We start from the raw sequence: 25614 nt of genomic DNA on the forward strand, positions 1-25614 counted from the left end.
AAACTGAGTTGAAGTTCATATTTTGTTCTACGTGTAATTTATTTACTTGTGAAATCTTGTACTGTCATGAAAGACTTAGGTCTAAAGCTGAATATGCTATTTTGATTGATTAGGTGATATGTTGTAGAACCGTATAATATTTATGGTTTGAAGTATAGTTTATGGTATTTATTTGATCGAATGTGTATTAAAGTGAAAAGTATATTGAAATATTAATATAGTTCTAAACCAGATTAAGTAAATAACGTATTGAGGTAGTGAATCTTTTTCCTTCTATAGTTTATTTGTTAGATTTTTGTAAAACCATTGTTAGATTTTGTAAAACCATTTGTTAGATTTTGTAAAACCATTGGCACTTTTGTGAAGTTTGGGAAATAAGAATTAACTACATTTTTGGGGTTTTAGAATAGAGCAGGAAAATTCTGGTGTTAATGATTGCCTATAACCTCAATATAGAAGAATAAGGACGTGGAATTGTACCACATCATCAATAAAAGTTCTCCTTACCCTAAAATTCTGCAGGTGGGTCCATCATCCTAATCAGTAACACGCAATTTCAAAAAATCTCTGTGGTCAGTTTATTATGCTTGTTAAGAGTTTTTCTTCTAAAGTAACATACAGAATTTGGATGATCTGAGTGAGTCTGAGCAGGGCCCCAGGTGGATTTATAGGTGTTTAGAATAAAAGGATGCTTTTACATAAATCAGTACAATTAGTTTTATTATTGCAACCTTGTTTTAGGCATTTATGTTAGCTGGTGACAAGACGATGAAATCTTCAGATCCTGATGTTTCAGTGAACCACAAATAGAAGGAAGTTGACAACTATCACACTATGGAATTGCAACAATTTGCAGAGATGACAGAAAGGGACATCTGTTTCCAGTCAGTGGGCAGGGAGTTGGTTTCCCGTAGGCAGCTGCCTGCACCTTCTGTAGAAGGCCACCAAGTGCTCAGAGGTTATACACTCGCATTCCCGGAGCTCTTCGGAGAGCACAAGGCAGGAGGGTCAGTGACGTTCTCGCATTCTTTTTCTGGCTGGCCATTAGAATTAGTAGGCCACATCTAATACGTCCACACAGGTCCAGATATCCTACACAGGGGTGTGGGTTCCCAAAGAAGGGGGGATCGGTAGGCCCTACACATTTGTTGCTCATCTGTTTGCATCTCAGGCAACTGTGAGCTGGCTGGGCTTCCTGACTGTGACAGACACAAATTCTAATCCTTGTAGCCTCATTCCTGCAATTGTACCCAGACCCTTGCCTGCTAGGAAGCCCAGGAGATGCCTTCTCTTACAGGGAACCAGTCTTGGACCCTGCGCCATGTTGATCCAGAACTGATGTGGACTCTTTTCCGTTGATTTTCAATGTGAAGGGAAAGGGACAAGTGGGGTTAAATAGAACCAGACCTGGCCACCCTGTTTACTTTAGAAAGCAAAGGAACAACCTAGAAACACATGTCTTAGTAGGAACACAAATTAAGAAATAGTGGCCCTCCTCACACCAGAAAAGGATTGCAATTATCATATTTAGCCTAACAATACCAGTCAAGTTTCCCCTTCCCAGATCCACCAGTGTAGCCCTGCCAAGAGCAGCAGCAATTTACTTGCCAGTTCATGAAGTCTTTCTAAAATTGTATTTTATTAAAGTCTTTTATTTCACTTTCAGCGAACATTTATTATTTGCCTCCTACAAGCCAGCACACCGCAAGACATTTGGGACAGAAAGGGTAAGCTGCAGTCCACAGCTGTAGAGGGCCAGGCTAAGTGCTAAGAGCCTGAAACGCACAGGTTGTGAAATCCTTATCTGCTTTTTCCTACCACCTTTTTCAACTTAAGAAAAATGACGCTATTAATATTGATGTCCAGCAGGCCAACATTTCTTTTTGTAAATTGTCAAGACTGAAGTTAACAGTGAACAAGTCCAGATCCCATCCTGCCATGTAGATCCAGTGTAGCCTGGGGATAATTCAACCCTTAGCCTCCATTTTTTTTTTTCTGTAAAATAGGCATGATCATAAGTCCCTCTGTCCCCTAGAAGACATCAAAATAATAAAAAAAAATGGACATGAAAGATGTCCATTATTCTCATAAAAGATGCTACCTAGATCCAGCGTAGGAATATTTTATGATGGCTTTGATCTTCATCTTTCTGTAGACATGGGGTTTAACAATTTAAATTCTTTCTGGCTTTGTTTTTCTAAGATTGCCACATAGGTAGATTATGTAATCCTAGCATCTTCTGTGTGGTTGTTCTCTGGCTGCATAAGACATTGCAGGAAAATGATAGTATAGTTACAGTGTCTGGTTTGTTAAATGATGGACTTTCATCATTATCAAAGGATAATTCTTTTCCAAATAGCTGAGATGGATGGGGAAACCAGTACTAGCCAGGAAGCTACCCTTCAGCCTGCTTCCCCCATCTGCAAAAGAACTGAATGGATGGATGATGTCCTACAGCACAGTCCCTCCTCCTTCCACGTTGTCTGCTGTGCCTCTCCCACTCAGAACAGAGTCACTAAAGGCTTAACAAGAACAATTAATGCAGTGGTCACAGACCTGACCTCCTGTAGATATCTGGATTCATTTCCTAGGGCTGCTGGTAGAAAATGCCACAGACCGGGCTGCTTTAACCATAGAAATGATTGCCTTGCATTTCTGGAGGCTGGAAGTCAAAGATCAAGGTGTTGACAGGGTTGGTTCCCTCTCAGAGCAGTGAGAGAAAATCTGTTCCAGGTCTCTCCTAACTTCTGTTTTTTTGGCAATCTTCTGCATTCCTTGGCTTATAGAAGCATCACCCTGATTTTTCTTTCCTCTTCACGTGCGGGCCTTCCTGTGTCTGTGTCTGTGTCCAAATTTGCCCTTTTTATAAGGACATGAGTCATACTGGATTAGGGCTCACCCTATTTACCTCATTTCAACCTAATTGTATCTGCAATGACCCTATTTCCAAATAAGGTCATATTCAGAGATACTAAGGGCTAGGGCTTCAACATTTGATTGGGGGGGAATACTTAATGTATAATGATATTTTTTTCATTGAGGTATGATATGGTTTGGCTGTGTCCCCACCCAAATCTCACCTTGAATTGTAGTTCCCATAATCCCCATGTGTCATGGGAGGACCCGGTGGGAGGTAATTGAATCATGGGGGTAGGTTTTTCCCATGCTGTTCTCATAATAGTGAATAAGTCTCACAATATCTGATGGTTTTAAAAAGGGTAGCTCCCCTGCACACACTCTCTTGACTGCTGCCACGTAAGACATGCCTTTGCTCCTCCTTTGCCTTCTGCCATGATTGTGAGGCTCCTCAGCCATGCGTAACTGTGAGTCCGTTAAACCTCTTTTTCTTTATAGATTAACCAGTCTCAGATACGTCTTTATTAGCAGCATGAGAACAGACTAATGCTAGGTGTTCTGGGTTCCTTCTGTATAAAATTCTCAGTAATAACTAACCAGATAAAAGACTGAATTGCCTTTTTCTTTTTTTTAATAAGTGATGTGGTACTTTTATTCCCTGAAAAAAATCCTCTCTCAGCTGGGTTTGTGAAGTCACAGTGACTTTCAGGTGCTTACTGTTTTTATTCAGACTAAAAAAATTATTAGGTGGGGGCAGGGCGCTGTGGCTCAACGCCTGTAATCCCAGCACTTTGGGAGGCCAAGGCAGGCAGACCACAAGGTCAGGAGATCGAGACCATCCTGGCTAACATGGTGAAACCCCATCTCTACTAAAAATACAAAAAAGTAGCCGGGTGTGGTGGCAGGCGCCTGTAGTCCCAGCTACTCGGGAGGCTGAGGCAGGAGAATGGCGTGAGCTCTGGAAGGCAGAGCTTGCAGTGAGTTGAGATCGCGCCACTTACACTCCAGCCTGGGCGACAGAGTGAGTCTCTGTCTCAAAAAAAAAAAAAACAAAATTGTAGATGGGTCTCCTTCTTGACAGGCATTGAACTAGTTGCTGAGAATGTAATGAAATGCTTGGCCATTGTCCTCAAAGAACTAGTAAAGGGAACAAACATGTAAAATATGTTTCATGTAATGATTGAAATATATACACAGAACAAAAAAATTAACTTGGCTAAAGTTGTCAATCTTTTTTTTTTTTTTTGAGACGGAGTTTGCTCTTGTTGCCCAGGCAGGAGTGCAATGGCATGATCTCGGCTCACTGCAACCTCCACCTCTCAGGTTCAAGCAATTCTCCTGTCTCAGCCTCCCAAGTAGCTGGGACTACAGGCGCGCCACCATGCCTGCCTAATTTTTGTATTTTTAGTAGAGACGAGGTTTCTCCATATTGGCCAGGCTGGTCTTAAACTCCTGACCTCAGGTGATTCACCTGCCTCGGCCTCCCAAAGTGCCAGGATTACAGGCATGAGCCACCGCACCCAGTCAGTTCTCAATTTTCATAGTAAATTTCCATAATTAAATTGTCTTAAATGTGGATCTGAGTGTATTTTTATGCTGTTTAAACCCTTCAATAAGCTTCAGCTTGACATTATGAAATAGTCCATGATTCCTAACAAGACTTAAAGACTCTCCACAATCTAACTTGTTTCCATGGCAACTTTCCCTTGTACTCTGTGCTCCACCATGGTAGCTCCTGGAATGTTCCTGGCCCTCTCCAGCATCTGGGGCCTTGCCTATACCTAGAGCAGGGTCGTCTATTTTTCCCATTCCATGGCCCCTCCCCTGTCACCACATCAACTCCTACACATCTTTCAGGCATCCAGGATCTTTCCTGATCACTCTCCACTCCTCCCCTACCTACCATCAACTCCCAGAGCACTGACTGTAACTTTTATGCCATTTATCATTCATTTAATATATTTGTTTTCCAATACATGGACGGGGACTCTGGGGAGCAGGAACTGGGTCTCCCTTATAGTCCATGGTATCTGCTGCATGGAATACTGTGTCTGGCATGTAATAGGTGTTCAATGGCTGTTTTGCTAAATGAATGAATGAAACATGCAACAGATCATGGGGATTTGGGGATCATGTCCCCAAAATAAGCTTAAAATTTGAAAATAAAAATAAATGATTTATTACCAGTCACAAAAAACTTAAATTTTAAATTATCGTAGGCTAGGCATAGTGATTCACGCCTGTAATCTCAGCACTTTGGGAGGCCAAGGCTGGAGGATCATGTGAGGCCAGGAGTTTGAGACCAGCCTGGGCAATATAGCAAGAGCCCATCTCTACAGAAATTCTACAATTTTTAAAAATTTTAAATTATTGCAGAGCTCTCGGAAATGTTTGAAAGCATGAACAAATAGATTGAAAATGACTTGGTAGTGACTTCTATTGGTGCCCAGAGAGCCCTGGGAGGGCCACAGGCAGATAAGCAAGGCACTTTCCCTGCATCCTGCTGTGCCTCCCGCTCCTTCTCCTTGCCACTCTCTCCTGTGTGATTGTTTTGTGTTTGATTTGCCTCCTACCCAGTCTTCATTCATTCACCTTCTTCCCTTTCCTGTAGCTCACATGCATGGTTTGTCCTGATACGAGCACACAAACACTAGCTGGATATTGCCCTCCGTGCTGCACGGCGGGTCCCTGTGCCCCGGAGCCCCACTCCTCCTCGGCTGCTCCACACACTGGAAACTGCATCTGACAGAAAGATTAAACGTCTGCATTTTATCACCTTTGTTGAACAAAAGTCCATGGCTTCTTCATTTCAGGAGTGAGTTCAGTGTTTGGTTTTTTTCTTTGAAAATAAATCAGGTTTGACTTTTGGGGGCCCCCAAATGATTCCCAATCTCAAAATAGGCTGGTAGCTGCCTGTGTCAGAATTCTGAGCTTTTCTGGGTCATAATGCCAGTTAGCATTTCTCAAACCATGGCGCTGCTTTTGGGCCAGCAGAGTCCGAAAAGAAATAATAGGATGTATGTTGTAGTTAGATGAGTTCATGCTGAGAAATACGTGTCTCCACACGCAGAGATTTAAAAGGCCTGAATATTCATACGGTCTTATCAAAGCCACTCACTGGTTATTAGTTCTTCATAGCAAGTGAAAGATATGTAAATCCTCAGAGGTTCATGGTATATCCAGGCTGAATAAATCTGAACCTTAAAAAAGAATTGGCACATTGAATTTTTCGTAGATGTTCATCCATCTCTGCTGTTCACTCATATAACAAGGTGTTTCTTTCTCAGGCTGCTGTCCTGCCTAGAGTATGGCAAAAGCCCAGATGAAATTGCGATTGCTTTGTCTCCAAACTGTATTTGATTTAGCTTTATGTTGATACCATTTATCTTCTTTTGCTTCAAACATTTTACATTGCCGAAGATGGCTTTGAAAGCAGAACACCCACATTTGGTATCACTGCATTCATTTCTCTTATGTTTTGGCTTCAATTCAGTGCTTTTAATATTCATGAAGGTTGAAAAAATAAACATCCTAGACTATTTCCTCTGAATGGAAATGTTATGGTTTCAAACCCTAGAGAAAACAACTGGTAAGTTCTACAAACCCACATCTTCTCCCCGTCAGTTGGAAAGTGGCCCCAGCTTGGCAGAAGTCACAGCCCCCTTGACACTCTGGGGCTTTCCAGAGCAGATGGCCAGGGGGCCTGTGTTAGGGAAGAGGAGAGAGTCAGCAGACATGAATATTTAAAGACTCCCTTTGGAATCATAGATACTAGAACCTTTTCAGTTGATTCAGAATTATATTATTTCTGTCACGAAGAATATAGAGGAATCATTTATTCCGTTGACTTCTCTGTGTTCAAATGAACATCATTGAAATTTTTTCTTAGTCCTCTCTCCTTCATTTACATTGAGCCTGTATTGATTTTCATCCTCTCTAAAATTAGCTCAGCCAGTCCCTTCTATATAGAGAAGAATTCCTATGGAATATCAGAGCAGGGAATAGAGAGCAAGAACTCCACGCAAATTCGAAAGCCAACCTTTAAAGAGAAAGAAAATGATTACTCTAAATAATTAAAAGAAAACTGATACTCAGAAGTGGTGTTTCAATAATAGAACAGTTGTAGGATTCCTGTGCCGTGGTAACTCCGTGGATTACCCATCTTGTTGACTTTCCGTCACTATTGTCCAAGATGACATTCCCAGACTCACCAGCTCTCTTCTTCCCTCCCTTGCATTCAGAGGGTGGTCCCATGCCTCAGGCTGATGGCTGCACTGTTTCATAAATGGCAGTGAAAGTTCTCCCTTATTCTTCCACAGTACAAGGTGAGCCTCCCTAATGTGAAAATACGAAATCTGAAGTGCCCCCAAATCGGAAACGTTCTGAGACCTGACAGGATGCCACGGGTGAACAGTTCGACCCCTGAGCTCATGTGCTGAGTCGCAGTCAAAACACAGATGCCTCTCTTTTTCAAAACTTCTCTGTATCATCTATCTTCTCTGTCTTTTTTGGGAATCCCTGCAATTTTTCTATGTGCTTAAGGCTAACAACCTCTTCCCGAGGTTATGTTCTGCATCTCTGTGGCTGACTCACAAGCCGCTAACAACCTCTTTCATTCCTACCACTTCCCACTGAGGATGCTGAAGAGACAAATATGGGCATCCCCAGCCTCCATCGTAAATGTGCGTGACCATGTGAGCCAGAGTGGGCTGGAGAGCACCAGGGAAGTCACCGGACGTCCAGCACGCAGGCAGAGCTGGTGGGGGCTGCCTTCTCTCCCTTCCCTGAAGGCAGATGGGATGCCCGTTGCCATAGTGACCATCCTGGAACGGTGAGGCTGCAAGCAAGAGGAAAGGTGGCCCACATGAGGGTGGCGGTGCTAAAGCACTGAAAGTCCTGGGCACCTGAGAGCACCAAGAAGGCAGATATATCCTTCAGAATTACATTGGGTCACAAATCAACCACTGTTTGTTTGAGCCACTGTTTGCCGAATTTTTAGTTACATACAAACACAACCTGATACTCCCCTCCATGCTACCCCTGAACAAAATGAAGATTTTCAAAAAACCTTGCCAGCGGCCGGGCTCAGTGGCTCATGCCAGTAATCCCAGTGCTTTGGGAGGCCGAGATGGGAGGATCCCTTGAGCCCAGGAGTTTGAGACCAGCCTGGCAACACAGTGAGACCTCGTCTCTACAAAAAATAAAAAATTAGATGTGGTGGCGCTGCACCTCGACAATGGCTGGAGCCCATGAGTTTGAGGTTGCAGTGAGCTGTGATCATGCCAGTGCACTCAAACCTGGGCAACAGAGCGAGACCCTGTCTCTAAAAAAAACCCAAAATCCAAACCTTGCCTAATCCTGTGACTACTTGTACATTTTTAATTCCCCTATCCCCATGGGCTTTTCCCTAATGTCACTGAACTTCCCGAACGTGAACTCCCAAAATGCTTTAAATGACTGTGCTCTGTTGCTCCACGGTTCTCTCCAGCTTGTAGGTAGGGCAGCCCCACGTGCTCCTGTGCTGCCCCACGTGCCTTTGCTCCTTGCACAACGTGGGGCTTTTCTCTCATGGGTCATGAGGGTCTTTCTAGTCTCTGAGACCCATAGGTCTTTGCCAGTCTGCCCCTTAGCCTGCCTGCAGCATTTAATGCTGTTCTCCTCTCCCTCCACGCTGACACTCTCCCCTCACTTCTGCACTGCACCTGGAATGATCTTTTAACAATGTGAATCAAACCATGTTCCTTCTCTCTTTCAAACCCTTTAATGATGTAGAATTATACTTAGAACCCAGATACCTGCTAACAAGTCCCAGTCTGGCCTGGCCCTGTCCTGTTAGCTTCCCCGTAAAGCACTATCTGCCCACCTCCGCCCCCATCCCCCACCCCGCCCAGTTCCTCCTGTGCATTAGGCCTTGCACTCAGGGCCTTTGTGTGGGCTATTGCCTCTGTGTGCAGCTCCCCAAACTCTCTTGCCAATTTCTGCACCTTCTGGGGGACTCAGCTCAAATACTACCTCGTGAGGGAATCCCTAAGCCCTCTCTGCAATGGCATCAAAATGCTTTCTTTCATTGCCATTTATGACAAGAATGTTAATTGTGTTATTTGTTTCGTGTTAACATGTTTCCCCTTCCCCAGAATGTAAGCATCTTCAGATGAGGAACCTTATGTGGTTTTTTTTTCGTCATTGTGTGCCCAGCAAGTGGCTCAGTGTCTCACACATAACATGGGCTCAAAAGTATTTTTTGGTTGGATAACAAATGAAGGCTCAGTGCCATCTCACTGTCTGTCAGATAGAATCTCAGCCACCCAGCTGCCATGCATGGGCCTTAGGGTCTGGCTGCAGCCGACCTGTCACGCCTCCTCCACATCCCCCACATGGGAGGAACTACTCAGCCTTGCCGCCGGTGTTCCTTTCGTCCTGCTGGTCCTGCCTCTCCAGCTCCCTCCTGTTGCTATTTTAATATGAAAACTGCACCCACTTTGACAAGACCAGTTCATGACACATTTTGGATTTGTCCCCAACCAGAAGTGACCTCTGCCTCCCTTGTTCTTCCACAGTACAGGGTGAGCCTCCCTAATGTGAAAATCCAAAATCTGAAGTGCCCCCAGATCAGAAACTTTCTGAGACCTGACAGGACGCCACGGGTGGACAATTCCACACCTGGGCTGATGTGCTGAGTCGCAGCCAAAACACAGATGCATAGAACACGGTTCATTTAACGTCCCTAAGGGAAAAAGAAAATCACCTTCAGGTTATGTCTGTGAGGTATATATGAAATGTAAATGAATTTCGTGTTTAGACCTGGGTCCTATCTCCAGGATACCTCATGATGTATATGCAATTATTCCAAAATTCAAGAAAATCTGAGCTCCAAAATACCTCTGGCCCCAAGCTTTTCAATTAAGGGATATTCAACCTGTATATTGCTTTATCTTCATTATGGCTCCTGTCCTATGCTAAGCAGTTCGAATGTAAGATGCCACAGAAGTGACTGTGCCCCATGGGCTCTGGTGTCATCCCCCACCCCCCTCGACTGACGAGTGCAGAACCTTGTTTGACAGGCATGCTGGATAAGCAGTGGGCTGTGATGGTGGGTGCTCTGCCCGTCGTGAGGCTGAGAGCACTGAACAGTCTGCAATACCTGAACCAAATGGAAGTAAATTAGAAGGAGCTTGAGCTGGGGGAAGAATCTTGAAGCCCGTGGCCAACGTTGAAAAGAGCCTTCATCAGAGTGTGAAGTGGCATCCAAGACAGGGAAAAGCCAGGGCCAGGTGCGGTGGCTCACACCTATAATCCCAGCACTTTGGGAGGCCGAGGCGGGCGTTTCACCTGAAGTCAGGAGTTCGAGACCAGCCTGGCCAACATGGAGAAACCCCCGTCTCTACTAAAAATACAAAAATTAGCTGGGTGTGGTGGCGGGTGCCTGTAATCTCAGCTACTTGGGAGGCCGAGGCAGGAGAATCACTTGAACCAGGGAGGTGTAGGTTGCAGCAAGCCGAGATCACGCCATTGGACTCCAGCCTGGGTGACAAGAGTGAAACTCCATCTCAAAAAAAAAAAAAAGAAAGAAAGAAAGGGGAAAGCTGGAGAGTTGAGGTTTGGGGACCTGTTATAAACTTACCCACACAGTGATGGATGCTCCCCGTACAGTAGAAAAAATGTAGCACGGAAGCACGTCAGCTTAGCTGGCTGAGCAGATGTTGTGCTGAATGTGGATCTCAGAGGGGAACAGAAAGGAAAAAGGCCTCTGGTGTGGTCCTCAGAAAACAGCACCTACCTCCAGTCTCTTGGGATTAGCCAGAGAAGAAACGCCAGGGAGCATTTTGCTTGGGGATTCCTTGGTGTCTGTTTTGTCGCAGCTTCCCGCAAGAAAGAACCCTTTTCATCACTTGAGTAACCATTGCCCCCTCCCCACAAAGGAAAATAAACAGGAAAATTTCCCTCTGGGGTGGCTCTCGAGCATCAGCTGTAGCTGCTGTAGCAAAAGATCAAACCCAAATACTTGCACCTTGTGGTCATTGGCATCAAAGGCTGCAGGTTTTCTTTCCACCTAATTTTAATATGCTTGTGAGCCTTGGGAGGCTTAATTAAAACTGCAGGGGAGCCAAAGTAAGCACACAAAGGAACTGTTTTGATGCTTCAAAAACCCAAGCAAACAGAATCTGGATTATTCAATTAGGTATGCTTATGGGATTTGTCCTGGGTGTTTTGATTGCTCAAAGCCTGCTGGGGAAGTCAGTTATGAGGTTTAGACCTGAAAGGAACCATAGTTAATGCCCCCCAAATTTCACTTTTCATCTTCTTAGTTAGGCTTCCCGTTACCAGTGCATTGTTGTGAGCTGTGCATGAACTTTTCTTTTTTTTTGAGACGGAGTCTCACTCTGTCACCCAGGCTGGGGTGCAGTGGCGTGATCTCGGCTCACTGCAACCTCCGCCTCCCAGGTTCAAGTGATTCTCCCACCTCAGCCTCCCCAGTAGCTGGGAGTACAGGTGCATGCCACCACACCTCGCTAATTTTTGTATATTTTGGTAGGGACAGGGCTTTGCCATGTTGGCCAGGCTGGTCTCAAACTCCTGATCTCAGGTGATCCGTCCACCTTGGCCTCCCAAAGTAATCCCCAAAGGGATTACAGGCATGAGCCACTGCACCTGCCCTGTGTGTGGATTTTTATTCCAACTTCTGTTTCCTCAGCTGCTTCTTCTACAGATGCCAGATAACATGGCAGGGCCAGCTCAGTTTCCCATCTTAATTTTCTGCCTCGCTTGGCGGGGATGTTCTTGGATTCCCTTCCTATTTTCCCTGATGGTTTTGGCTATGCAGGATAGCCTGGCAGTTCTGAGCACAGGATCTCTAAGCTAGACCGCTTCTGTCTGCTTGGCCCCAGACATATCACCTAATCTCTTTATGCCTCTTAATACCATCTGCAAAATGAAATTCAAGATCACAGGGTTTCCTCTGTTAATTCAGTTTCTTTTTTTTCTTTTTAAATTCATGTTAAAGTGCTTAGCACAATGCCTGGCTCAGGATGAGTGTTGAGTAAATGACAGCAGTGATCGTGATTACACTAGGACGTAGGTAGGTGCCTATCAGTCAGGTGTAGCCAGTGGTTATGGGAAGACTGGGAGGGTGCACACCTAGGCCTTCCCAAGGGCATGGGGGTAGACCCAGCTTCAGTGCTGCACTCAAGCCCAGTCTAAGGCAGCCTCAAAGGCCACGTGACAGATACTCACACAAGCTGAAGTTGGTGGAGTGTCTGTCCACGGGACTGGCTTACCCAGAGTACATTTCAAGTGACAAGGACTCTTGCAGTGAGCTTGGCTGCAGCTAATTTGTCATTACATCATGAAACTCTCCCTCTGAAAATGGAACTCAGAGTCCAATTCACAGAGGAATTTATTGCCAAGATCACAGCCACAGCAAGACCTGGAGGCAGGCAGCTCTGTCTCTTGGGGCTGAGTCAGTCTGGGCTGATGGTGAGTACCATGCAGGCCCCTCCTAGAATGTATGCTTGTAGCTAACCAGCTCCAAATAAACTCATATGCAAAGGCCTAGGAGGAAAACTACCCAAAAGAAAAGGTTTACCTGATGCTAACTTAAGAATCCAAATGAAAATACTTAGTGTCAGTTGCTAACAGTTTATGAAGTGGTGTTACCTGTGCTGGGCCTTAACTTCTTTTCCAGATGTTTCTACCCCAACAAAGCAGCCTGTATAGGATTTCTAGTATGTACGGGTAGGCTGTGTAGAAAACAGCTTCCCTTTCATTGTCTCTAGTGAATCCATTAGGTAAGTGTCTGCCTGTGACAGAGCAGCCACTGAGAATACAGGGATGTAGAGAACGTGTACCTCACACTAGGAGGCTGTCAGTCTAGTGACGAAGTGAGTACACATAGGCATGGCATTGAGCTGATACAGATCGCAAGGCACAGTGGCAGGAACACGCTCTGCAGGGTCTGCAGCCTTGATTCCAATGGTGGCTTTTACCTCCGGTCAGCAGTGTGACCTTAGGAAGATTATTTGACATTTCTGAACAAACCATCCTCATCTACCAAATGAAGGATAACGCTCTTGTGGTAAGGCCACCATATGTATTAAATGAAGGGAAGGCCAGTGACCAGCACAGTGCCTGACAAATGGTCATCATACAACAAATGGTGGCTCTAGAACTGTTACCATCATAGAGGAACACGGGAGGGAGCAGACCATTCTACCTGGAGAAGCTCAGGCAGTGTTCTTTCAGCTGTGTCTTGAAGGAGGAAGAGGAATTCTAAAGGCCAGAACAGTGGTGGAGGGGCACTGCCAGCTGAGTGAAGACGGGAAAAGACAAAGAAAAAAAACAACGTTGAGGATTTGAAGAAATTCATACAGTTCGGTGTGGCTGAAGTGCAGGCTGCTGGTGACTAAGGGCCAGGAGCTGGGTCCTGAATGAAGGGGCAAGACCAGGAGTGGACTCAGATACCATTCTGGAGAGTTCGATTTGCCAACTTTAGCAAGAATGTGCCAAAAATCCCAGCTACTGTTACTAAGTGCTAAGGATGCTACTAAGCTAAGCTATATATATATGTAAAACATTGGATGTCCAGCAAACACCCTACAAAGATGACACTCTGTTTTACAAATGAGTAAACTCAGGCTTATGGAAATTAAGTTACTTAATCATTAAACTCACCCTATTAAATTATGGTGGATTTGGGCAGCTGCCTCCCTGAAGGACATGTTGTCTCAGTTGATATTTCATGTAAATTCTGTTGTCTTGTTTTTCGGATTCATAATCACTCATTGTTTTTCTACCTTGGTACAGCAAGCAAATAAACTCTCCACCATTGTCAGACTTGAATGAGTTTAGTCAACTTCCCCTGCTGGGCAGTTGATTAGATAGAAGGAGAAGTGGCTCACTATTATAGTGTAATTTTCTGATACAAAGATTCATTTTTACTTGGTGTCAGTCCATTTGCATTGCTGTAAAGGAATACCTGAGGCTGGGTAGTTTATAAAGAAAAGAGGTATTTTGGCTCACAGTTGTGCACTCTGAACAAGAAGCATGGTACCAGCATCTGCTCCTGGTGAGGGCCTCAGAAAGCTTCCAGTAATGGTTGAAGGCAAAGCGGGAGCTGGTATATCACATGCAAGGGAGAGAACAAGGGGTAGGGGAAGCATCACACTCCTTTAAGCAACGAGATCTCCTGCAAACTCCTTACCATGGAGAGGGCACCAAGCCATTAGTGAGGGATCTGCCCCCATGGTCCAAACACCTCCCATGAGACCCCACCTTCAACGTGGGGGATCACATCTCAACATGAGATATGGTGGAGGCAAACATCCAAACTATATCACTCCCCAAATAAATCAAGCATTATATTAAAAACTGCACACTATATTTTAATTTTTCATGATAGATATTAGGCTTGAGTTGCAGGTAATATGAGACCTTTGGTGGAGGTTAAGCCTAAGGATTTCATAAAATTTTGAATGTTACCATAAACAAGATTCAAACTAACTTTAGATGAATCATCCTCAGTCAAAAGATGGGAAAGTAGGTGTTAGCATCAGCCTTAGAAATGGGGTATGTCATTCATCAAGTACCCAGAGTCCTATAATCTGAATTCCTGCTGTCACTCCCACCCTTCAAAGTACCCAACTCACATTGATTTGGGATGAGTTCTAAACAGGTGTTTCCTCTGTGTTGCAAATGGTTTGAACTGGAGCCTTGCATACCTCTGGCATGTTCATCCAGACCCAGCTGATGCTCATGAGCATGTATGCTCATCTGACGGCCAGTCCTTGCTGATTCCCACGTTGGTCAGCACTGGACACAGAACAGATGTTGGGGATTATAGGGAAGGATTCGGGAGGCCATGGGCCTGAGTGTCTGCGGAAGTCATTCATTGTGGAGACGCAGACAGGCCCTGCAGAGTCTTCAGTGAGAAGTTTGATTAAATAAGCCTCAATGGGCCTGCGTATCAGGACGCAAAACAAATGTTTTCCAGGTATCCCTTAATTGAAAGAAAAATAATAAATCATCATCTTCAAGTCAGGCTAAATGAGGAAGGGAAATAATCCCAATCCCACAAGTTTTCATCTGACTTCTAATCTAGGAGTTCATTAGTGGGATCATGGCACGTAAGCATCCGAGTAGAATCCTCTGATTAATTAATTCCATGAGGAATCATCGGAAGACAGTTTGCAGAGCAGAGGGAGGCTGACTGCCCCCGTGGGAAAACTCTTTTAAGGTTGGGCCCAATTTTCCCCAATATGACACAGGACTCTTTCTTCCTGGTCTGTTCTGGTTGTCCTGGAGTTTCTTTGTCAAGCTGCTCCACTGATGGTATTGTCTACACCTCAGCTACCTGTCCAAGACACTCTCAGAGGTCTGAGGCGTGGAACTCTGTGGGCTATGAAAGGGTTTTACTTTTTGCTGAACCACCCACCTACAGCCCTCCGCTTATTGAAGCAGCAGAAAGCTCACCAGAGGTGGCTTCTTGTTTCCTTCAGTGTTTCCAAGTTACTCTGTAGACTTAGTGAACCTAAGCTTTGCACTCCTCATAGCTGTGTATGAGTCTTTTTCTGCGATAAGCATAGAAATGTTTCATCTCAGGAGAAAGCAAGTTGGTAATAAGGAAAACAAAGCAACTGACAATAGTTGATTAATATTTTTTAAAGAAGAGGGGATAAAGGACACATACAACTGTATGTCATTGACATTAAATGCCATACAAAAACGCAAGTAAAACTATAAGGGAAAACAAAATGTACCCTTGTAGTAAATATTCTGTGAACCAAAATCTCAAGTGCAGTCATAGAAGTCATTCACTCAACTTTTGTGGCATTTTATTTTTTTTGCTTTGTCTTTCTATTCTTTCTTTCTTTTTTTTTTTTTTTTTGAACAGCCCAATGTAACTCCATTGGTTGTGTTTGGAAAAATGAAAGAAAAGGCTAATTATTGTCCTTTGCTTTTCTTGCTCTGAAAACAGCTTCCATTCTCCACAATTAATGGAGAAATATAAGAAGACAGTTCTATATAAGCAAAAGAAATACCTCGGGGCCTTTAACAATTAAAAGGAACAAAGACAGGCGGGAGCGGTGGCTCACACCTGTAATCCCAGCACTTTGGGAGGCTGAGGCTGGCGGATCACGAGGTCAGGAAATCAAGACCATCCTGGTTAACACGGTGAAACCCTGTCTCTACTAAAAATACAAAAAATTAGCCAGGCATGGTGGCAGGCGCCTGTAGTCCTAGCTACTTGGGAGGCTGAGGCAGGAGAATGGCATGAACCCGGGAGGCGGAGCTTGTAGTGAGCCGAGATGGCAACACTGCACTCCAGCCTGGGGGACAGAGCGAGACTCCGTCTCAAAAAAAAAAAAAAAAAAAAAAAGACCAAAGACATAGGAAAGGAGGTCTAGATGATTTTTATGAAGAGTATATATCAAATATTATTTATATATTAATCCAGCTTTAAGATGGGAAAATGCTATAAACGTGGGAAGTTCTCCATAGAAGAATCAGTCAAAAGTATTCCTGTTTGCTCATGTCTAAGAATTCTGAAACTAGGGAAACTGTATTGAAAAGATAAATTGAAATATATTGGAACGGGAAATGTAGCTAAAGTGTTTCCATTAGGGTACAATGAGAAAAACTGGATCTGTTTTATGTAAATTTTCAACAGTGACCTGGTTAAAAAAAAAAAAAAAGTTGAAGTACATTAATTAAATTTACAGAGCCAGAAAAGGTGAAGACCCAGGAGGTTAAACATAGAAAATACAGATGGACTGAAAGAGATGAGAGGAAACGGACGGACTTTTACAGCATGATATTCAGCTTGGAAATATGCGGGAGAATACGACAGGGAATACCAGCCAAAAGTCAGATAGCTAGTTTAAAGAAAAAGTTAATAAAACGTTGAAGTCTGAAAAACTGTACAGACCAAAGCCAGGAAATTACAAAGTTATGGATCCCGCAGTAACTGTAAATTAACCCCATTGCACATATGTAGTATTTCACATTACCGTCTGTGGTGTTAACTTTCATGCCTAAACATGCATGTGTGTGTGTGTTTCACCTGAATTATGGTTGTAAAGGGAACAAAGGTGCTAACAGGACACGGAATGGATCGCCAGCTCCTTTCATGGGTCTCCCAGGAGCCTCTAGGCCCAAGCTGCTCATCCACCATGGAATAGAGCAAGCAGGGAGACATGCTTTGATTCAAAGAGTGTTCTCCAGAGGGGCTAGGAAGAGACACCTGTTTCTTGACAATTATTAAGGAAGTCGTGAGTGTCGTGGGTAGATGGAAGGATGTCTGCAACACGTTCCAGAGACAATGCATTGGATTTCCATCATCCCTTCTCCTTTCCTTTTTTTTTTTTTGAAATGAAGTCTCACTCTATCCCCCAGGCTGGAGTGCAAAAGCTTGATCTTGGCTTACTGCAACCTCTGCCTGCCTGGTTCAAGCGATTCTCTTGCCTCAGCCTCCCTAGTAGCTGGGATTGCAGGCACGCACCACCACGCCCGGCTAATTGTTGTATTTTTAGTAGAGATGGGGTTTCGCCATGTTGGCCAAGCTGGTCTTGAACTCCTGACCTCAGGTGATCCATCCGCCTTGGCCTCCCAAAGTGCTGGGATTATAGGCATGAGCCACCACGCCAGGCCTTCTCCTTTCCTTTGATTGCCTCATGGGAACTACTCTCTCTTTCACCAGCGTGCTCCTTTTACCCCCATTTTTTGCCTCCATACCACAGTTTGTCCTCTGCATACCCCTTTGTCTTGGAGGGCTCGTTCCAGGTGCTAAGAGGCAGTGCTTTCCTTTTAGAGCTTCCAATCTATGGATCTGGTTATTTGTTTGCCCGTTTTGGTTGATTTTTGTAAACATTTTTTAGTCAACTTACATGGTGTGCTTTCCAACACATCTCTCACTTCAGGCACAGGACCAGGACGGAGGAGTCCGCAGCCTCCCTGAATCATTGCTCAGGCCTCTCTTCTGGTTCATGTGTCTGCTTCTAGCGTCTTCCACCTTTTCTCATCACAGCAATGCGGTGGTTTGCCACTCTTCTTCCTGACTTTCGCCATATTGGGGATGTTTGTGCCAATGTGGAGACTCCTCTGTTACCATGTCTTCATACTCTTTTGACTTCCCTGGCTCCTGGGAGGTCCATGTCCACAATTCATTCCCATCCCTTGGCAGGGCTGGCCCTCCACAACCTGGAATCTGTGTCATCCTCAAGATCTTAGCATCCGATTCCCCGACTCACAGCCATCCCTGGTTCGGCTGCCTCCTGCCACCATCCCCACTGAAACTGCTCTGAACTTTCACTGCCATTGCCAACCTCTCTGCCTTGCAGTTGACGTCCACTCCTACCAGTTCTCCCAGGCTTCGCCTTTCTTCTTCCAGTGGGGCTCCAAAACCACTTGTGTAGGTGGGACATTTCTTCTTGTCCTTAACTCCCCTGCCCTTCTTGGTTCTGGGTTTCTGCCCTGTCGTCCCCACCATCTGCTTGACTCCGTGCACTCAGGCTGCTCCACGTTTGGCGAAACGTGAAAGGATGTGGATCCTGCCCTCAGTCCTCGGGAGCGTGAAGGGCTGTGGCTCCTGCCCTCAGTCCTCGAGTGGCGCTGGCAGTTGGGCTCTCCTTTGCTGACTTCCCGTGCCTGTCACAGCAGCTTCCAGGGGCTGGACTCCTCTGCTCTTCATGCCGAACTTGACTCCGCCTTCTGCTCACCACAGAGAGTGAGGCCCCTTCCCGGTGGCTCTTCAGCGTCCTCCTCGCCACCCTGGAAGCCTCTTCCCAGAGTCCTCTGCTGATGCTGATGCCTCCCATCTCCGAGTTAAGACCTGGCCTTGGCCTTCAGAGCTGCCGCTTTCAACTCCATTCCTGAAGCTGTTCCTCTCCTCACCCCAGGGCCTCCCTGCACCACTTTCCCTCTTGAGGTTTTACATTTCAAGACCTTCTCCCTCCTGCCCGCTTCCTGCTGCCTTCCCGTCCTCTGGGCAGGCCCCACCGGCCTTTCCTCCACACTGACTCATGCATATTACCGCCCCCGGTTCCCCTCCCTCACTGTCCTCCCAGAATTTCCTTCACCTTCACAGCACAGGTCCCACTGACGAGGACTTCATGGAGGGCTGGCTGTTCTTCTTCCTCCACCTCCTAGCATAGCTGTCACCCAGGTTCTGGTCACAAGCCTTTGCCCACCGTGTGCTCCTTTCCTCTGTGATCACATGCATCTCCATGGGTTCACCCCTCAGCAGGTGCAGGCGGCCCTCCCCACAGAGGACTAGCCTGGCCTCTGAGAGAGGCTGAGAGCTTGGGCTCTAGGGCCTTGTTGGATGCTGGCTCTGCCACGATCCTGGCCAAGCTCCGTGACCCATCGTGCCTGAGTGACCTCACCTGTGAGAGGAGAATCAACAGCAACGTGGGTTGTCAGGAGGGTGAGCTGAGCTGATTCACAGAGAGGGCTGGGCACGTGCCATGGTGTGCGGTAGCAGAGTCCACGTGGCTCTTTCCTCACTGTCACAGCCGCCCTTCTCCGGCCACATGGATCCATCTTTGTGGAGCACTCCACACCCACAATTCCTCAGCCTCTCTCCAGATCGAGAACTTTCTGACTCCTCCAGGAAGGGAGATCCACGGAGCCTCAGAGCCGCTAGTTCCACCTCCCCCGAGTACTGCTCCTGCTTCCCTGGGGGACACTTCCCCCTCCCATCTGGCTCTTGCTTGACTTGTCCCCTCCACTACTTCAGGGGCCTCCTCCTATGCCTCCCAGATCCTGTCTGCCCTTCAGTTGCTCTCATAGCTGCTGCCTTGGTGACTGTTCCCTGTTTGAAACGATCCCATGGCTTTCTGTTGTGTCCTGAAGGAAATCTGAGCTCCTCAGTTCAGCAGCCCTCTTTCCTCACAGGCTTCCCTCCCCTCCATGCATGGCCTAAACCCAAGCACACTGTTCTCCTGCAGGAAGCACCTCTGTAGGAGGCAGCGTGTCTGGCCGTCTTCTGGCTGCAATGCTCTTCTTACCTGCGCCGAAATGGATCCTCAATGAACCCCACACAGGCGTCTCTTCCAGAACCCGTGTGACTCTGCTCTGCCCTAGAAGTATCTCCTCACCCGTCCCATCCTGACCAATTGCTGCTTGAGGACAACCACTGTCCCTCTTGTTCCCCATATAGTCCTGGCAGCAGCACACACTGAATCCAACTGTGGTGACTTCATGCCTGTGTCCATTCTTTAAACCAGCATCTCAGGCCTCACACCAAGCACCAGGGCAGAGAGTGGAATGTATCAAAATTGTGGCAAATTTTGCACCAAGAGACAAAAGTCCAGGAATTAAATAAGTGGCCTATTCAAATATTAACATGCCATTTGCTTCATATCTTTTTGAAAATAAATAAAATGCTGACCACATTATATGAGTCTCCTTCGTTGTCCTCCCAGTCTCACTCCCCTTGAGATAGAAATGCTCTCGTTACTTTACTGTTGACTGTTTTCATGCATGTATTCTGCGTGCATAAACCTATAGAAAATATTAACAATACACAGTGCTAATCATGCAGGGTTTTGAAACTTTAAATAGATTGTATTATATGTACTCTTCCTCAACACTGGGTTTAAAAAAAAACAACTGTTTTTGAAGTTTATCATAGTGATATAATTGTAGCACATTCCTTTTAATGCTGTTTTCCATTATATAAATTTGCCAAATTTTTTTTATTCTCCCATTGATAAACATTTGAGTTTCCTTTTTTTCCCTACAGTTGCCAGAAATGCCATAGTGAACACTCCTGAACATATCTATTTGTGGACATGAATGAATTTCCCAAGAGGGCATAATCTGGAATGAAATGCACATTGCAAATTTCTCAGTCTGTGGCTTTTCTCTAACTTTTTTTATGGTGTCTTTTAGTACAAAAGTTTTCCATTGTTAATGTAGGCAAGCTTATCGATTTTCTTTTTTTTTGAGATGAAGTCTCGCTCTTGTACCCTAGGCTGGAGTGCAGTGGCATGATCTTGGCTCACTGCCACATCTGCCTCCCGGGCTCAAGCGATTCTCCTGCCTCAGCCTCTCGAGTAGCTGGGATTACAGGTGCGTACCACCACACCCAGCTAATTTTTTGTGTTTTAAGTACAGATGGGGTTTCACCATGTTGGCCAGGCTGGTCTCAAATCCCTGTCCTCGGGTGATCCACGCACCTCGGCCTCCCGAAGTGCTGGGATTACAGGCGTGAGCCACCGTGCCCAGCCAACTTATCGATTTTCTTTCATGGTTTCTGCTGTTTGTATGTTCTCTAAAAACTAATCAAGGTCATAAAGATGTTCTCCTATGTTTTCTTCTAAAAATGTTGAATGCTTTTCACTGTGAGCTCTGTGCTCTACCTGGAAGTAACATCTGCCTGTGGTACAAAGTAGGTCCTGATGTTTTCCATTTGGACGAGTAGTATTGCCTTTTTGCCAGAACTCCCTCCCCTGTCCATGGACAGGGCATTTGCTAGATTTCAAGCATTGTCCAGTGAGGTTTTTCATGTCCCCGCTGAGAGTCTTGGGCATTGCACAGAAGGGAGGGGTCTGAGCTGGAGCCCTTGTGCTGCTCTGTGTGCTCCATTAGAGGAACGAGAGCATGCGCCTCCAGGGTTTGAACCTAGGGAGCATCTGAGATGGTCCAGAGTGGGCCATCTGGAGAGGCATCCTCTCTCCAGAGATTCTCAGAACAATAATAATACCTCCAGGATAGTTCAGCCGTTGCAAGCTTGAAATCCCTGGAGAACTGCTATGCTGTCAACTGGAGGCTTCCTCTCCTCACTCAAATTACTTCCCTTTTATAAAAATGATTCTAGTCATGCACGATGTAACAACGTTTCAGTCAACAGCAGACCACACATATGACCAGGATGGTCCCCTAAGATGATAATGCCATATTTGTACTGTACCTTTTATATGTTCAGATGCATAGATACTTAGCATTGTGTTACAGTTGCCTACAAAATTCAGTACAGGAACATGCTGTACAGCTTGTAGTCTACAAGCAATGGGCTATAAAAGATAGCCTAGGTGTCTAGTGTGCAATCCCATCTAGGTTTGTGTCAGTACACTCCAGGATGCTCCCACAACAACGCACTCACCTAACTATGCATTTCCCAAAATGTGTCTCTATTGTTAAGCAATACGCATCTGTATTTTGTAACCTGTCGATCTCTGCCTGTATGATTTGAAAACGAATGTTATTTTCGCTTCATAGATCCCAACTTTAATGGGACTTGTACTACTAAGGAATAGTGAGGAACCGTGAAATCCAATCAAACCTGGCTGCCTGTGTAGACTCCCAGCCTTCTATTCATGGATAAGCTGCATGTTGCTTATTAACTGAGCACCAAGATGTAGCAGCTTTGCTTTATTGCGTAATGATGCATGACTGCTTGCTCAGTTAGCACAACTGCTGTGTGCTGGAGGAATAGAGAAATCCTGTGGAAACAGTCCAGTTATTACGTTTATTGTTTTAAACTGTTACATTTTAAGCAAAATAGAAAAAGACAAGGGTCAGAAATATAGTAAAATAATTAATTTATGTATGGTAAAGTCAGACTAGGATTACTGGGCTAAAAATTGAAGCTGGACTATACAAATTTAAAGGCTTGCAGTTGATTAAAATGAAAGTTATTTAAATGCTAGCAAATCATGATATAGAAAATATTAGTAAATGATGAAGTATTCAGTAAAGCCATTGTCTGTTAGGCATATAGGCCTGTAAGAGCTGGGCGGGTGGCTCACGCCCATAATCCCAGCACTTTGGGAGGCTGAGGTGGGCGGATCACCTGAGGTCAGGAGTTTGAGACCAGCCAGGCCAACATGGTGAAACCCCGTCTCTACTAAAAATACAAAACATAGCCAGATGTGGTGGCATATGCCTGTAATCCCAGCTACTTGGGAAGCCGAGGCAGGAGAATCACTTGAAGCCGGGAGGCAGAAGTTGCAGTGAGCCGAGACTGCACCACTGCACTCCAGCCTGGGCAACATTCGTCTCAAAAAAAAAGAAAAGAATACAGGCCTGTAGAAGGATTGCTTAAGCCCAGGAGTTCTGTAGTGTGTCATACCAGTAGGGAATCTGCACTAATTTGGCATCAATATGGTGACCTCCTGGGAGCAGGGGACCACCAGGTTGCCTAAGGAGTGATGAACAAGCCCAGGTCAGAAACAGGTCAGGTCAAAACTACTGTGCTGATCAGTAGTGGACTCACAACGGTGAATAGCCACTGCCCTCCAGCCTGGGCAGCATAATGTGAGTGTATTTATCGCTAATAAAAAAATTATTTAAAAAATATGTATCTCTGACACCATGGGACAGGCACTGACTCTTGAATTGGAGAGACCTGGATTCAAATCCTGAGGTAGTCTCTTACTGTATGACCTTGGACTGTCCATTCAACTCCTGAGCTTTATTTCCTTTATCTGTAAAATGGGAATAATTAGTATCTCCCCTACAAGGGTTTTTGAAATAATGTATATAGGCATACCCAGGAAAGAAGGGTTTGATAGAAGAGAGGGGAGCCTGAAACCAAGACCTGCCTCTCACTTATGCCTGAGGCCAGTGTGTCATTGATGAAAACAGGAAATACTAGGGACGGGGTGGGAGGAAGTGAGGGTTGGTTTTAGGCAAAACATATACATATTTATGATTTGGGATAACCTTGTTGGAAGTCGGAATGATTGCAGGGTGTGCTGGTGAATCTGCCTGTGCCCCCAGCAGTGTGTATGTATGTGTGTGAATCGTTAGCCTGCAATGTGCACCTCATTCTGTCAAATGCGTGGCTACTTATTGATGAGGTTCTGGGGGAGTGTGCTTTCTTCATCTTTGTGTCTCTCAGAAGTAACCAAATAAGTTCTCAAAAACTGCTGGCAGAAGGAAGGCACGTTAATGGTGGATGTAACGTTATTCATTTCATGAAAGAAAGAAATCAACATTAAAATTAGAAAGCATTGTTTTAATTTCTGAATTGGGTACTTGGAATGGACATTCTTCACAATTTTCACTGGGTTATCATAAAATCTTTATTAATTCAAGTCTTTTCTCCCCCAAGAACATTTTTCTATTAAAAAATAACAACCACCACCATGAACTTTGGTGTGGAGGGGCAGTGAAAAGAGTAATAGTGAGAGGGAGAGAGAGAAAGAAGAATCCCTGTGGGGGTGCAACAAGCTGCTGCTAAATTTCAGTTGCAGTTGTCAGAGTTAAAGAAAACATTGGAGAAAATGTCTCATCAAGGGGTCCCCGGATTTTTCTGCTCCGGGAAGGCTGCCTGAGGGATGGATCGCGGCCAGCTGGCAGGGGCTCAGACGCCTGGTACTGTGCTGCAGCCACTGAGCTCATTGGCTCCACCTAAGTCATTTTACAGTCAGAGCTGTTTCAAGATCAGCACACGGCACTGTACAGATGTTTGGGGTCGGGGAGGAGTAGAATTTGTGGAAGGAAGAAGTATATGCTTAGTTTTAAAGGTTTCATTCTAGGACCTCTCAGGGTTCTGGTGAAATGGATCATGTGAGAGTGGGAGCACAGCTGACCAGGCTAGGCAGGACAGCCCTGTGAGGCAGTCTTGATTTTACAGAGGAGGAAAATGAGGCACGGAGAGGTTAATTAACCTTTTGAGTGTCGCAGTCTAAGGCTCAGAGGCACAGTTCCATCCCAGGTCTGTCTGAATCCCGAGTCCTCACTCCCGATTCACCACCTTACTCCACTGCTGAGACCATCCCTGTGAGTCCGGCCACTCAGTGAGTTAAGGAGGCCAATGGCCATGTCCCCACGGGGACATCTCTCTCCTCCTGAGAGTCTCTCTCATACATCTCAAATCTGAGATACAGATTGAGAAACACCCCAGGAAATCCACTGCATGGAAGGCAAAACAACCTTGAGCCACAGCAGTGACCACAAGCAAGAGAAGCCTGGCTATGAGCACAGTCATGATGTAGTTCAAGGTTGGGGAATTCAAGGCCTCCATGTCCATCCCAACATCTTCAGCTCCTCCTCACGTCGCCAGTGGATGTCCTCTGCAAGCTGATATAAATTATTTTCAAACCCAGATATACATTCTTGACTTAATTCCACTCTCCTCAAACTCGCCCACGGAATGCCTCTAACAGAGGGGAGCGAGGGCACACCCTGGGAGGCCCGAGTATGTATCCTGTGGCATTACATCTCAAAAATGATATTTACTCAAAGATGCTAGTTTTAGGTAAAAATAAATTATTCAAATGTATTGTGAAAATGTTATTGGTTTTTTGTTTGTTTTGTTTTTTTGAGACAGAGTCTTACTCTGTTGCCCAGGCTGGAGGGCAGTGGCACGATCTTGGCTCACTGCAATCTCTGCCTCCTGGGTTGGAGCAATTCTCCTGCCTCAGCCTCCCAAGTAGCTGGGATTACAGCCATGCACCACCACGCCTGGCCAGTTTTTGTATTTTTAGTAGAGACGGGGTTTCGCCATGCTTGCCAGGCTGGTCTTGAACTTCTGGCCTCAGGTGATCCACCCACCTCGGCCTCCTAGAGTGCTGGGATTACAGGCGTGAGCCACCGCCCCCGGCCATGTTATTGGTTTTAATATGAAAGGATCTGTTTTCCAAATCTTTGGGTGAGATTGAAGATCCAGGAGGATATATCTTGTTGATCATATGGCTTGACATAAGTACCCACGCAGTACTCTGATTTAGGATCCAGGGGTCTTCCAGGTCGAATTAGCATTTTCAGGGGTATTCTGAATGCCCAAAAGAGTGACTGACAGGGACTTTTCGGTAA

The 25614-nt window shown here is 45.4% G+C and overlaps 1 protein-coding gene and 1 pseudogene across 9 annotated transcripts in view; both read left to right on the forward strand.

Moving 5' to 3' along the window:
* The window catches only part of ATP8A2 (ATPase phospholipid transporting 8A2), a 653878-nt gene that overhangs the window by 549670 nt on the left and 78594 nt on the right, over window positions 1-25614 (forward strand). Inside the window, exon 34 of one of the 9 annotated variants that reach the window (NM_001411006.1) lies at window positions 5468-6068. The exons of the other annotated variants lie outside the window; for them this stretch is intronic. Within the exon in view, the coding sequence (NP_001397935.1) occupies window positions 5468-5602 (135 nt within the window). The 3' untranslated portion in view covers window positions 5603-6068. Of the gene's footprint in view, window positions 1-5467; window positions 6069-25614 lie in introns of those variants that run through there. 9 annotated transcript variants of the gene reach the window in all.
* On the forward strand, window positions 22835-23123 carry RN7SL741P (RNA, 7SL, cytoplasmic 741, pseudogene; annotated as a pseudogene).

Source organism: Homo sapiens, chromosome 13 (genome assembly GCF_000001405.40).
Source record: "Homo sapiens chromosome 13, GRCh38.p14 Primary Assembly".
NCBI lineage: Eukaryota > Metazoa > Chordata > Mammalia > Primates > Hominidae > Homo > Homo sapiens.